Source organism: Homo sapiens, chromosome 3 (genome assembly GCF_000001405.40).
Source record: "Homo sapiens chromosome 3, GRCh38.p14 Primary Assembly".
NCBI lineage: Eukaryota > Metazoa > Chordata > Mammalia > Primates > Hominidae > Homo > Homo sapiens.
In genome coordinates this window covers 32,832,020-32,846,636 of record NC_000003.12, presented here as the reverse complement: position 1 = coordinate 32,846,636, position 14,617 = coordinate 32,832,020, and the positions used below count along the sequence as shown (strand labels likewise).

Sequence of the window (14,617 nt, the reverse complement as noted above, 5' to 3'; positions counted from 1 at the left end):
AAGGGGAGATGTCGGTTAAAAGTTTCAGTTAGACAGGAAGACTTAAGTTTTCAAGAGCTAATGCACAGCATGGTGACCACAGTTGTTAATGATGTATTGAGAACAGATTTTAAATATTTTAAACATTATCATTACAAAAAACATAAGTATCTAAGTTAATTACCTTAATATAATCATTCCACAATGTATGTATATACCAAACATCACATTGTACCCCCTAAACATATACAGTTATTATGCCAATTTAAAAATAAGAAGTGGTGGCCAGGCATAGTGGCTCACGCCTGTAATCCCAGCACTTTGGGAGGCTGAGGCGTGTGGATCACAAGGTCAGGAGATCGAGACCATCCTGGCTAACACGGTGAAACCCTGTCTCTACTAAAAATACAAAAAATTAGCCAGGCATGGTGGTAGGCGCCTGTAGTCCCAGCTACTCAGGAGGCTGAGGCAGGAGAATCCTGTGAACCCGGGAGGCGGAGCTTGCAGCGAGCCAAGATCGCGCCACTGCACTCCAGCCTGGGCGACAGAGCGAGACTCCATCTCAAAAAAAAAAAAAAAAAAAAAGTGGCTTACCAAGTTAGTTTCCCATCCAAAAACATAATAAATAAATGCACAAGCTAGTGAGCCATAGTCTCCAACTCCGTTTTTTAAAAAAGGATGCAAACTGCCAGGTGGATCACCTAAGGTCAGGAGATCGAGACCAGCCTGGCCAACATGGCGAAACCCTGTCTCTACTAAAAATACAAAAATTAGCCAGGCTTGGTGGCAGGTGCCTGTAATCCCAGCTACTCGGGAGGCTGAGACAGGAGAATCACTTGAACCCGGGAGGCGGAGGTTGCAGAGGTTGCAGTGAGCTGAGATCACTCCATTGCACTCCAGCCTGGGTGACAGAGAGACTCTGTTTCAAAAAAAAAAAAAGATCCAAACTTGGCCTAGGTCGCATGGCAATTTGACCCAGTAACCTCATGAAAGATCCCAAGGCCCTTTGTTCTCTCACAGGGCATACTGTCATTAACAATACATACAACTGGCTTATAATATCATATGATCTCATTTACCTAGTGACCACTGAGTTAAAGAAAGGGTTTGTACCTGTGAGTAACCCCCAGAGTAACCCCCAAACTGAAGACTCCTTGCAAACCCGCTAGAGGGAAGGAGGGCTGCCAAGCCAGGTGGCAGCAAGACTGTTCATGGTGTGGTGGCAGGAGCTGCTCAGCCAGATGAGGGACAGTGGGGACTCCTGAATATACTAAACACCTTCTTCTCTTTCATCCTTTTTGCCCTGGCTCCTGGGGATTCCTACATCTTTGCAAGCTTTCTGTGGGTTTGAGCCATGTGTCTCCCACATTTTCACCCAATTAACCCTGGGAGTGAAATGGAAGCCCTGGCATGGTCTGGGAGACACAGCCACAAACATTTCAGCTCTGTCTGAAAATTACTGTACTCCCCTCCACAGCACAGCATTAGCTGTTTTTATACAATCCAGACAGGTACCTGGAAAGCCTCCAGGTGGCTCCTGTTCAGCTCCATTTAGAGAGAGATGCCAACTAGAGGTGAAACCAGAAGGGAAGACCTGGCAAGGCCCTCAGATGCACAGCCTCACCTAGTTCTAGCTGTCCTTGTTTGTGTTGAAGGCAGAGTCCCACATGAAACAACTTTGGGGAGTTTCGCTCAAATTCAGCCCAAAAACTCAGTCTTCATTACCTTGTCTTAATTTGAATTTCCATCCCAATGTCATTAAAATTGGGGAACTTTGGAAGTACGGAATGGCTTCTTAGAAATACAATGTCTCCACTGGCTATCTTTTCAAGGTGGCTCAGAGGAGGGGGATGGCTAAAGGTTGATTCAATATTCTAGGAATTGTTATGGCTTGAAGTTGGTTAACCGACTTCATCAGCTAAGTTAAAGCTTCATTATTATCACAGGCTGCTTAAACCCACCAGGGCATCTGATAATAATACAGGTCTACCAATTTACAACTCAGGAGATATCATTTAAAATGAAATAGAAAAGTTATGATTGGCCAGGCTCGGTGGGTCACTGGTGAGACGCTCTCTACAAAATTTTTTAAAGTTAGCTAGGCATGGTGGAGAGTGCCTGTACTCCTAGCTACGCCAGAGGCTGAGGCAGAAGGATTGCTTGAGTCTGGGAGGCCGAGGCTCCGGTGAGCTGTGATCACGCCACTGCACTCTAGCCTGAGTGACAGGCCGAGACCCAGTCTCAGGGAAAGGGAATAAAAGTGAAGTTATGACTGACAATTGGGTAAAATGCCAATTCACAAAACAAAACAGTGTGCTGAGAACTCTGTTGTGACCTAAAATCCCCTCTTCCTCCTAGGGCAACATTTAAATCTGTTTCTCAAAGGGGCCACCAGCATTAGAATCCCCAGAGGTACTTGTTAAAGATGCAAATTTGAGCCCCACCCCAGTTTTAGAGAATCAGAATCTCCATGGGGTAGGGAGCCCCAGGGCTAACCAACTCCCAGGTCATTGTTAACCAGGGAAGGGCTGATTTACACAACCACACAAAATAACGACGACGCGAGAAAGCATGGGTAAGCACATAGTGGGCAGTCACTACAGATAATTTCCCCGTAAAATACTTCGGCTCTCATAGTTTTTAGGACACTTATTTTCTCTATAGTTCACATTAAAACATCTTGAGACTCTAACCAGAAAAAAGTGCGTTTATCTGGAGTTATTTGCATAACATTAAATCCAGCAGGATTTATGGAGCTCCTCCACAAAGGCAGGGTGGGCGGGCAGGGCCCAGATTAACCCTTGCCCACACCCTGGTTTGCTTTCTGGGCCGGCTCTGCACCTTCCCAGAAAGCAGCACGACAGGAAAGGAGCTCAGGGAGGTTCCCTCAGCTAATGGCCCTTGGGCGAAGACTCCTCCAGAATGTTACTTGTCCTTGGCTGGGCTGGAACAGAAAACCCAGCGGGTAACGGGATAAGCACGCAGGCGGGCATTAAGCCTGCTTCCCGGGGAAGATTAAACACAGTTAATTAAAACCCTGCAGAATGGGAGGCACGGGGATTAGCTGGCAGGGAAAGGGAGGGGGACCTGCTAGCAGGAGAGGTGATGCCTGCCCAGATTTCCTTCCCAGAGCTCTTTTGCCACTAATAAAGATTAAATGTGCTAAGCACAACTGGGCCATCCACTCCATTTTCACAGATCCCAGTATCCCTTACTTCGAGGCCCCTGGGTAAGCCTGTCCCAAGAGCTGGGCAAACCAAGAAATAAGCTTACTGGGGAGTTACTGCTATGCCTTAGAACTCTGGTTGATGAGAAAAGGGATCCTGGTGAGTTGGGGGGAGTGTCCTGAGGTGCAAATCAAGATCAACCCTCAATTACCATTACCTTCACATTTCTCCCACCCCCTGCTACCATGCAGGCCAGATCTTGGGGGGTGAAAGTAGCAGGAAGCAGAGGGCTCCCTTGGAGGGTGAGGCCCTGCCCCTCTTGTATTTCTCAACAAAGGCATGACTTGACCAATTCAGTCAAACCTAGTCCCAGCACCCTGGAAGCCCTTGCCCAATCACAATGTTCCAGGCCTATACCCAGCTGGAGGGGCTGTGGCCAACACCCCGATAATCCTATAAATAGTCCCACCCCCGCCCTCCAATTACAGAAGACCAAGGGAATCACCATCAAAAAGCATTTATTAAGCACCTAAGACTCATAGGGGCTTGGCCCTGCCCTGAGAGAGGGTCATTTATGACCATTAAGGCCAGAGTAAGGCAGGCTCCCAGAGGCCCATAAAACTCCCAGGGAAGGAAGTGGGGATTAACCACTTCCTCTCACCTCTCAAGAAGGGGTTTCAAGATGTACCAAATTGCAGAACAGAGGGTTCTTGGGTGGGGGTGGGGAGATGGGGATCAGAAGAGCCTACACCTGGCTAAGGCCTGTCTGTATAAGGGGACATGAATAACCCTGGGGTTTCTCAAATCACTTTGATTTTTACAGAGGAGAGCTTTGTAGTCCTCACTGCCCCGACTTCTCTGTGAGGCACATGCTGGCAAGACTCTGCACCCGCCCCTTGGCACGGGTCTGGACTCTATCCAGGAAGGGACAGAGCATACATGGGGATTATATGCATATTTGACAAGTGCTATGCTGGTACAATGGCTTAATTCTTTTACCTAACTCAGCAGTCTGATTTCTTGGATCAAAACCTGTCTATCCTGGACAATTTACAACCCCATCATACTCAATTTTTACTGAAATTTTTTTCAGGAACTCTCACCCAAATCTAAGAAAAGCAGCTTACAAAGAAGACAAACACAGGCAAGCTTGAGTCATGAAAGGAGAGCAGCATGCGGGATGGGACTTCCTGGATTGAGACCATGGTTTGGCTCTGAGCTTCCTGGGAGTCAAAGCAAAATGACCAACAATAAATAATTATGCCATTATCAAACTAACAGTTTTCAAAACGGACAATGTTTTCCCAGCAGTAAATCTAGACAGTGATGGAATCTGCAAATTCCCCTCCTCAGCATATGAGGACCAGCACTGAGAGTTTCCTTTCTCTTCTCCCTTCTCTCCCTGCTGAGCTGTGGGGAAATCCCTGCTGAAATTACAGGGGCAATCTTTATGGTGCTAGAGCAAAGCAGGTAGAGACAGGTGCTCAGAAGCGAGTGGAGTTGTTCCTAGGTGTATGGCGTGAGTTCCAAGAACTGCACCCTGGCTGAGCACTGTGGCACATGCATTTTGGGAGGCCGGGGATCACTTGAGTACAGAAGTTTCAGACTAGCCTGGGCAACATGGCAAGACTCCTGTCACTACAGAAATTTTTAAAATAGAAGTAAATATTAAAATAAATTAAAAAGGAAGCTTCCTGGTAAGTCCTGGGGGTCCAAGTTAGGTGAAGTCCCACAAACCTCTTGAAAAAGGAAACAATAAACTTTAGAACGTTTCATCAGTAGAGAAGCCACCACGTTAAGCCAAAGAATGTACGGCACTAAACTTATTAACCAATCCCTGCCTCTGGGGCTTTTTCTTTTGGGGGGTGGGGGTTGGCGGTGGGCCTCACTCGTGGCCCACGCTGGAGTGCAGTGAAGTACAGTGGCGTAATCTTGCTTCACTGCACACGCCACCACGCCCAGCTAACTTTTGTATTTTTTTTGTAGAGACAGGGTTTTGCCGTGTTGCCCAGGCTGGTCTCCTGAGCTCAAGTGATCCAACCACCTTGGCCTCCCAAAGTGCTGGGATTAGAGGCGTGAGCCACCTCACTAGGTAAAGATACCTAGTATTCTTTACGCAGTTTCTCCTAATGGTAACATCTCCCAAAACAATAGTATAATATCACACTCAGGGTACTATCGATACAATCAGGGCACACATTTCCCCTGTGCCTGGCTCCTTGGGTTTGTTTTTTGTTTTGTTTTTTGAGACAGAGTCTCGCTCTGTCGCCCAGGCTGGAGTGCAGTGGCGCGATCTCAGCTCACTGCAAGCTCCGCCTCCCGGGTTTATGCCATTCTCCTGCCTCAGCTTCCCGAGTAGCTAGGACTACAGGCGACCGCCACCACGCCCGGCTAATTTTTTGTTTTTTAGTACAGATGGGGTTTCACCAGGTTAGCCAGGATGGTCTCGATCTCCTGACCTCATGGTCCACCCACCTCGGCCTCCCAAAGTGCTGGGATTACAGGCGTGAGCCACTGCGCCCAGCCAGGCTTTTTTAAATGAGGAAGGGATAGAATCTTTAGTTTGTGGATAAGATAAAAGCTGGCTCACTTAGACCAGCCCGGGGTGACTGAGAAGGGAGGCCACCACTCAGGGCCAGAAGCATGCCCCCTTGCACCCCCAGCTGAGCCCTGAAAGCTCCCCAGCAGCAGAGTCGCAAGGCTTCACCAGTGTTAGCCACTTGGGCCAAGGTGATCAACATTCCAGGAGGCAGCCATTCCTGCTGAACAAAGAGCCCAGGGAGGAATTCCTCCTGCCCCAAGCATGTGGGTTGGGGGTGGTATCCAAACAAAACTGGACAGAAGAAAGCAGCCCCAGCAAGGGGCCCTAAGGAAGCCTACCCCCACTGCATGCCCTGTCGGAGGAATGGAGAAAACTCAAGGGAAAGTCTCCAGCACAGATTACAATTGGACCTTATAAACACAGAAGGCAATTTCGGGGCTTTGTCTCTAAACATAATGGAGTAAAGTTCAGGAGAGAGCAATCTCTATAGGAAATAGGCCAAAACCTCTGAATTTAATCATTAACTTTATCTCGAGGGTCTTTGTATTCATGTTATGTACTGGCTTTTACTGTAACCAGTGCAAACATTTTACTGTCCTTCAAAGCACAGAATGCGGGGTTTGTTGGCCTATTTAAAAGAGTGCCTACATCAACATGAGATGATTCTAGGGAGATTCCAATCAGAGATCCCCAGCAAAAAGGACCTTTGGAAGGGAAGGGGGGTGGGGAAAAGGAATTGGTGAATGCAAACTTTTCTCCCTCCCTGTGCTGGTGCACTCTTCCACTGACAATACAGTGGGTACATCTTCAGATGAGCAGGAGATGAACAACTCCTGTTTTGGAGGAGGCTTGCAGAGGCCTTGGGAAAGACATTTTGAGGCAGACTTACAAAGCAGCAAGGTTCTCTCTTGCTCTGAAGGGCAGAGGTGGCAAGTTTTTAAACTGGAGCGTTTGAATTAACTCTGTAAACATTAGTTGAACATTTGCTTTGTAGATACAGTTCTAATCGCCAGTAGAGTCCTCAGCAAAGTGCTTCCCAGTTTTTCAAACACCCAGCTCCTCAAAAGCACTCAGGTCTTTCTTCTGGGACCACTGCAAGTGGCTCTTCTACCCTCTTCCCCGGGCAGCACCCCACCTTCAATGCCCTTACCCAATTCCAGCCCAGCAACCTCTGACTTGCCAGCAGATCCACGTATGAGGGAAGAATTAGACATGAGAAACCAATTCTGAACCCTGCTAGTGCCGAGTGATAAAAGCGATAAGGGACCCCACCCCCACCCCCCCCCCAAAAAAAGCTCAATAATCAATTCGACTTACTACAGTGAAGACTCAACAATTATGCACAGAGGAAACAGCCTAAAGCCTACTGTAAGTTCTGGGGCTTGACGGGTCAGACGTTCCTCCTTGGTAACATCACGTCTTCCGGGGGCTGTGGCTCACGCTGTAATCCCAGCACTTTGGGAGGCCAAGGCGGGTGAATCATGAGGTCAGGAGTTCGAGACCAGCCTGACCAACATGGTGAAACCCTGTATCTAACTAAAAATACAAAAATTAGCCTGGCGTGGTGGCACGCACCTGTAATCCCAGCTACTCAAGAGGCTGAGGCAAGAGAATCACTTGAACCCGGGAGGCAGAGGTTGCAGTGAGCCGAGATGATGCCACTGCACTCCAGCCTTGGTGACCAAATGAGACTCTTGTCTCAAAAAAAAACTCATGTCACTTTCACACAGGACCTTATCATCCATGAAAGATGGTTCTGAATGGCATGTATAATAGCTGGTCCATGACAAGAAACACCCTCCACTCACACCCCTGAAGTGAAATGTCCTTGTAAGTTTAGATTTCTGATTAAGGAGGCTCAAGGCTGGGCATGGCGGCTCAGAAATCCCAGAGGCCAAGGCGGACAGATCAACTGAGGTCAGGAGTTCAAGACCAGCCTAGACAACATGGTGAAACCCCGACTCTATTAAAAATACAAAAAGTAGCCAGGCGTGGTGCCATGCACCTGTCATCTCAGCTACTCAGGAGGCTGACGCAGGAGAATCACTTGAACCCGGGAGGAGGAGGTTGCTGTGAGCTGAGATCGCAACACTGCACTCCAACTTGGGTGACAGAGCGAGACCTCGTCTCAACAAAGAAAAAAAAAAAGGAGCTCAAAATCCACATTTTTCCTAAGAGGGATAGTCTTCAGGAATGGAAACCACCAATCTGTCACATCCAATTGACCAACAGGCCTGAAAAGCTATGAACTTTCTCATAAGTGTTCACTAGCCTCTACAAGCAACCTTCCTCCAAGGACCAAAGAGCTTTAGCTCCCCTATATCAACTGCCTCTGGGAGAATACACAGAAACTGGCATTCTGCGTTAGGACTTCACTTCTCCACTGCATGCCCCTAAAATGCTTGATTAAAAAAAAAAAAAAAAAAGGCCAGGTGCAGTGGCTCACGCCTGTAATCTCTGCACTTTGGGAGGCAGAGGCGGGTGGATCACTTGAGTCAGGAGTTCGAGACCAGCCTGACCAACATGGAGAAACCCCGTCTCTACTAAAAATATAAAATTAGCTGGGCATGGTGGCACAAGCCTCTAATCCCAGCTACTAGGGAGGCTGAGGCAGGAATATCACTTGAACCTGGGAAGAGGAGGTTGCGGTGAACCGGAGCTCACACCACTGCACTCCAGCCTGGGCAACGATAGTGAAACTCCGTCTCAAAAAAATATAATAATAATAATAAGCATATAGTACCTAATCCAAAATAATTTAGTACTTCTACATGTACATCATTATCCATGGAACCGCAAATCCCCGGTAATTCTACCTCCCTTTATACTGATGTAAGGGTCTCCAGAAGGCAAGCCCTGTTTATTGCTTTGTGTCCTCAAACACCCGGATAGCCAGGCACATGGCAGATGCTCAATGAAAAGTGTGTTGATTGAGCAAAATTCACATCCACATTTTCCGAGCAATCCTTGAGGAATTTGCCTCCCAGCAGGCATCTGCTCAGAGGAAAACAATGTGCCCTGGCCATTTGCATTGTGGCCCTGAAACAGCAAATGTCTTAAACACAGAAGAGATAGAATCTGGGCCTTCTCAGAAGCTAAATGCCATAGAGGTAAAGACTTCAGGAGGTTTTTTTTCTTTTTTTGAGATGGAGTCTCGCTCTGTCACCCAGGCTGGAGTGCAGTGGTATAATGTCGGCTCACTGAAGCCTCCGCCTCCCGGGTTCACACCATTCTCCTGCCTCAGCTTCACTACAGGTGCGTGCCACCACGTCTGGCTAATTTTTTGTATTTTTAGTAGGGAGGGGGTTTCACCAAGTTAGCCAGGATGGTCTGGATCTCCTGACCTCGTGATTCGTCCACCTTGGCTTCCCAAAGTGCTGGGATTACAGGCATGAGCCACCACGCCCGGCGACGTTAGTAAGTTTTACAACTATCCTCAGATCAGTAGTAAGCCAGGACATCAAGACATTGCAACTTTCCATCATTAGAGATTTGACCATATCCACAGCCCCTAAAACTATACTTTTCATAAATCCTTTTGAGACCCATGACCAGAAAAGCAGGCCAAATTCTCCACAGATTTGTACTAAAAGGCCACACAGTAAAGGAACTTTCTGGGCTGGTGGAAATGTCCTATATCTTGATTGTGGTGGTGGTGGCACAGACATATTACAGACAGTACAAAATGCAATATATATTTCAAAACACCTTTATATCAATGCTTACACGACTAAATTACAGACAGTCATAAAGATGGCATTGCATACGCTTAGGAAATAAGAACAATTACATTATCCACGCTGTTAACAATGATTACATTTGGGGAGTGAAACTGGCAAGTTGTTGTTTTTTTCTTAATCTACTTCAAGTTTGCCTGTGTTATAGTGACTACTTATTTCTTTTGTAATTTAAAAATCCAATGAAGATAAAAATTGGGGGGAAAAGGCACCTATAAGATAGCAATTCTGTATAGAAAGACCCAGCCCAGGAATAGGTACATGCTGAAGGAATGGGTCGTTTGTAACAAGACCTAGACCAATATAAGCATCATCACTTGTCTGCTGTGAATAACTGAACGTCTGCAGAGACTATTTCCTTAATAGCTACCAGTATAATAGCTACCAGTATATGGCCACGAAGCATGAACACTCAACTGATTGCAAGCCAGCTGGCATTCACAAGTTAAGGGCCTTCATATACCTACTCTTCACCCACAGCCAACAGCTATTTTCAGAATGGCTTCCCTGAAAGCTAAGGTACAAAGAAAAAAAGGACAAGAAACCATTCACTAACAGACAGAACATTAGGCTCGTTATTTGTTCTAAATAAAATTAGATCCACCTTCTATGATATACCAAGACTATATTCTAAGGTGGGACCTAAAGACACAAAATGTAGAGGAAGTAAACATCTATCACACTAAAAATTTAAAATGTATACCAAGTTAAACTAAATGGAGGCAAACTATGGCCTCAGAAAAATCCTTTGTAACACACAACTAGTAATCAGTATTTATCCAAAATGCCTACAAATTGAATTTTTTTAACCCAAGATATCAGCCCAGGAACAGGAGCAGGGAATTCAGGAGGAAAACTCAAATGGCCAGTAAACATATGAAAAGCTCATGCACACCTCATAGCAATTGCACAAATGAAGAGTAAAACAACAGGACCAGCCATTTTTTTCATTAGATTGATGGCAATAAGGGAGGGGTGGGGAGGGAGGAAATGCGGCTGGTGGAAGGCAAGCTCTCCGGAGCAAAGTGCTGGGATCTATTAACATCTCAAACGTGCCTCTCCAGGGTTCTAGAGATCTCCTTGCTGGGGGAGCTGTCGGGGGAGGGGAAGATCTCCCTTCTATAAGAGAGGGTTACAGGGACACAAGGATGAGCATTGCTGGCAACAGCCAAATAAAAGAGGCAATCAGAAGCAGAAAAAGGCAAAATAAATTTCACACCATAAAGGCCAAGTTTAGAGCAAGTAATGACCAGCAAGTCAGTACAGGGTAGCACCTACACATGTTTTTTAAGACTAACCTCTATATGCTTGTGTATGTAAATGGTTGCTTGAAAGGAGCCCCACGAACCTGGTACACCACAACTTTGGAAAGAAGTGGGACGGGGTACATTTTAAAAATAAAATTTACAGATAATCCAAACAAAATAGGTTTATATATTACTTATAATTAAATCAGGATTAGAGTTAACTAAAGTTACTTCCTAGGATAAAAGATATCCCCAAGAAAAATCTCAGTTTTCTATTCATCCAGCAATTATGAGCTGACCAAGGATGGTGAAGGAAGGAGAAATGAAAAACATCAAATATTATACTCACAGGCATAAACATACTCAGAAAAATTACAGCCTAAAATGACAAGTGTTGTGAATTCTAAACAAAACGTTATTTTCCCAAAACCCTTAAATGTTATCTTTTAAACACATTTAAAACAAAATTGTAACCCCTTCCCTCCCTTTTTCACTCCTATCAAGTGTTAACATACTTTTGATTAAGCATTCATTGATCCGGGTTCCTCTTTTCTGTTCACAGTGAGCCAACCTGTCTGCTTTTACCATTTAGAGGGGGAGAGGACCCTCTCACAGTGATAACATTTACAAATAGGTGTAAAGTCAAGAAATTAAAATGAGAATGTTTCTTAACCTGCTGAAGCTACAGAACTGTTACACCTTGGACATTCTGCCCCCACTCCCCCCATCATGTTACACATGCAAAAACTGTGATTTGTCCAGATGTCCGTAACATGCCAATAACGGGAACCCAGCAGAGCCTGAAACTCAACCTCTTCTCTCAAACCAGAGCTTAACATCACCTCCTTCTCATCTTCATGATTTCATCTTGCACATGACTTTTAAATTTTATTCCATTTGATGTTTTACATACCTTTTTTGATGGGGAAGACAATTGGTTTTACATCTCAACAGGCAAACAAAAAAATCTGGAAAAATTAAGTTCTATGGGGCTAGGACAAAGAGGAACTGATAGAATGAACTGTCATTAAATTCAGACAAATTATGCGCTCAGATTATGCAGTAGACCCTAGACAAAATGAATGCTCAAAACGCCAAATGTGAACACCATCCCCTTTTTTTTTGAGATGGAGTCTCGCTCTGTCACCAGGCTGGAGTGCAGCCGTGCGATCTCGGCTCACTGCAACCTCCACCTCCCAGGTTCAGGCGATTCTCCTGCCTCGGTATCCGGGGTAGCTGGGACTACAGGCGCCCGCCACCGCACCTAGCTAATTTTTGTATTTTTAGTAGAGACGGGGTTTCACCATGTTGGTCAGGATGGTCTCGATCTCTTGACCTTGTGATCCACCCGCCTCGGCCTCCCACCATCCCTCCTTTTATAAGAAAATGAAATGTTCGTTTTCCAACTTTAAAACTGGCTATACTAGAAGTAAAACTCCCCCGATCTAGGAAGCCCTGGTATATTTAATGCCTTTCATTGTATGCCTGTGTATGTTAACATTTGTGTATGTAATTAACACAAAATCTACTTAAATAAACCAACAATAAAGCTGCAGATAAGACAGATAACTTTAGCTGTAGGATCTCAATCAAGGCAAGTCTGGATTTATTGCACAACAGGCTTAACATGAAATTTGTAGCTGTTGTGTCAAGTCCCAAACATCATCTAGACTTAATCACTATCTCCTGCTATGACAGGATTTGCTATCCTTTCTTAAAATGGTTTCCATTTATAACCGTAACAAACACAATCACTCGGTTTCACCTACCAAACTTCAGTTTAAAAGTGGAGACACTTAAACCTTACTTCATCCATACACATGGAGGTAACTCTGAGCCCCAAAGCTCCAAATATTTGGGTCAGTCCACAGCTGAACAGAGCTGTGGTTTTTCTTTGTATTTCCAGCACCTATGTGGTTTTAAAAATTAAATTAAATTGGAAAAACGAATTTTCCTCTTGGAATATTCCTCTAAATCCCTGAAGGCTCTTTTCAAGCTAACAACAGAAACAAAGGAAGTAAAAACCTGTTGTTTTAGGAAAATGAAGAATTAAAAAACAAACAAAAACCCATTTTTTTCCCCAATGGTCAAGGATGGGGGTGGGGCATAGCAGGTGCTCCCATTAGCCCCCATGCAGCACTGTCTGCATATGAATTCCTTCACTTTAAATTTCTACATAAATGTCTTCACTTATAAACAGGGCATATTGCAGAAAATATTTCATTTGATTCTCAAACAAAAAAGTCAGGTCATTCTTCCCACTGCACTTTAGCCTGAGCCAAAAATAAAATAAATAAATAAATAAATAAATAAATAAATAAATAAATAAAAAAGCATTCTCAGTACTCCTGCAGCCTGTACTCAACCTCCCCCTCTCACTCTTAAGATTATAACCATCACACACTGAATGTCTTACTTCACACCAGGGAGATAGCCGGGGGTTCCAAACCAGCCATCCACAGATGCTCCCTCTGTGCAACAGCAGCAGCCTCCACTCCAGTCAGAAGCAGATTAAGGACACAGCAAAGGCAGGGAATCATCTTATTATCCCAATGTGAAGTCTACAAGGGCCTGAGGGATGTGGGACTATTTTGTTCTCTGCTGTTTCCCCAGAGCTTACTTTATCAAATCAGTTTTCATAGAAATTCCAGTCAGTTTTCATAGAAATTACGATATTCTGCACTCCTATTTCATCTTTACTTGAGCTGGGTTAATTACAATCAACAGGTTTGGGAACAAAAACAGCTGCCTCTTTTTTTTTTTTTTTTTTTTTTTTTTTTAAAGACAGAGTTTCATTCTTGTCACCGAGGCTGGAGTGCAATGGTGCAGTGGTGCAATCTCAGCTTGCTGCAACCTCCACCTCCCGGGTTCCAGTGATTCTCCTGCCTCAGCCTCCCGAGTAGCTGGGATGACAGGTTCGTAACACTAAGCCTGGTTAGTTTTTGTATTTTTAGTAGAGACGGGGTTTCACCATGTGTTGGCCAGGCTGGTCTAGAACTCCTGACCTCAGATGATCCACCTGCCTCGGCATCCAAAGTGCTGGGATTAAGGCGTGAGCCACCGCGCCCAGCCCAGTCAATAATTCTTTATATTACCTATTAATTAATGTGGCTCTGGCCCCTGATACACCAATTATTTCTTCAATGTTATCAATCGTCCACCCCCTAGGAAGGGAGGAAGAGGAGGGTACCCTTATCTCTTCCTTACAGATGTTGAAAGAAGTAGAAAAAATTAGGTAAAAGGTCTAATTTTACAATCTTTATTATAATATTTTTTATTGAGACGGGGTCTTCACTTTGGAACCCAGGCTGGAATGCAGTGGTATGATCTCAGCTCACTACAACCTCCACCTCCCAGGCTCAAGCAATCCTTCTACCTCTTGAGTAACTGGGAACACCTATGTGTGTCACCACACCTGACTATTCCCCAAGAGTACTGTTCATTCAGCCTCAAACTCATCTCCCCATCTGAACTTATTTGGATTCCATTAACTTTAGCAGACAGGATCTCACTCTGTTGCCCAGGCTGAAGTGCAATGGCATGATCATAGCGCACTGCAGCCTTGATCTCCTGGGCTCAAGTGATCCTCCCACCTCAGGCCCTCTCCACTCCTCCAGTAGCTGGGACTACAGGGGCACAACTACTGTGCTCGGCTAATTTGTACGGACAGGGTCTTGCTTTGTTGCCCAGGCAGGTCTCGAAATTCCCAGTTTCAAGCCATCCTCCTGTCTCAGCTTCCCAGAGTGCTGGGATTACAGGCATGAACCACTGTGCATGGCCACCTTTAGTGTTTAAATTTCATCTAGTAATTTAAATAAGACCACATATAAAGTGGCCATATAGGGAAGTAGAGAATCCCCCCCCACCACAATTCACCTTTTCCTTTTCAGTTTTATATTCCCAAACAGTCAAACCACAAGACTAAAGCAAGGAACAGGATGTAGA

General features: G+C 45.2%; 1 protein-coding gene across 1 annotated transcript in view, besides 6 other annotated features; it reads right to left on the bottom strand.

The window, feature by feature from the left end:
* The window catches only part of TRIM71 (tripartite motif containing 71), a 79,828-nt gene that overhangs the window by 51,188 nt on the left and 14,023 nt on the right, over positions 1-14,617 (bottom strand). The window lies entirely within an intron of this gene.
* Positions 2,376-2,971: an enhancer, noted in NCBI's record as "OCT4-NANOG-H3K27ac hESC enhancer chr3:32885158-32885753 (GRCh37/hg19 assembly coordinates)". NCBI's record gives its function as "activates a minimal SCP1, AML or CMV promoter by ChIP-STARR-seq in naive H9 embryonic stem cells {active_cell/tissue: H9 hESC(naive)}" and the evidence as "EXISTENCE:reporter gene assay evidence [ECO:0000049][PMID:30033119]".
* Positions 7,151-7,746: an enhancer, noted in NCBI's record as "H3K27ac-H3K4me1 hESC enhancer chr3:32880383-32880978 (GRCh37/hg19 assembly coordinates)". NCBI's record gives its function as "activates a minimal SCP1, AML or CMV promoter by ChIP-STARR-seq in naive H9 embryonic stem cells {active_cell/tissue: H9 hESC(naive)}" and the evidence as "EXISTENCE:reporter gene assay evidence [ECO:0000049][PMID:30033119]".
* Positions 8,345-8,941: an enhancer, noted in NCBI's record as "OCT4-NANOG-H3K27ac-H3K4me1 hESC enhancer chr3:32879188-32879784 (GRCh37/hg19 assembly coordinates)". NCBI's record gives its function as "activates a minimal SCP1, AML or CMV promoter by ChIP-STARR-seq in naive and primed H9 embryonic stem cells {active_cell/tissue: H9 hESC(naive and primed)}" and the evidence as "EXISTENCE:reporter gene assay evidence [ECO:0000049][PMID:30033119]".
* Positions 8,942-9,539: an enhancer, noted in NCBI's record as "NANOG-H3K27ac-H3K4me1 hESC enhancer chr3:32878590-32879187 (GRCh37/hg19 assembly coordinates)". NCBI's record gives its function as "activates a minimal SCP1, AML or CMV promoter by ChIP-STARR-seq in primed H9 embryonic stem cells {active_cell/tissue: H9 hESC(primed)}" and the evidence as "EXISTENCE:reporter gene assay evidence [ECO:0000049][PMID:30033119]".
* Positions 10,223-10,780: an enhancer, noted in NCBI's record as "OCT4-NANOG hESC enhancer chr3:32877349-32877906 (GRCh37/hg19 assembly coordinates)". NCBI's record gives its function as "activates a minimal SCP1, AML or CMV promoter by ChIP-STARR-seq in naive H9 embryonic stem cells {active_cell/tissue: H9 hESC(naive)}" and the evidence as "EXISTENCE:reporter gene assay evidence [ECO:0000049][PMID:30033119]".
* Positions 11,354-11,554: a silencer, noted in NCBI's record as "peak4592 fragment used in MPRA reporter construct". NCBI's record gives its function as "represses an SCP1 promoter by STARR-seq MPRAs in K562 erythroleukemia cells {active_cell/tissue: K562}" and the evidence as "EXISTENCE:reporter gene assay evidence [ECO:0000049][PMID:32103011]".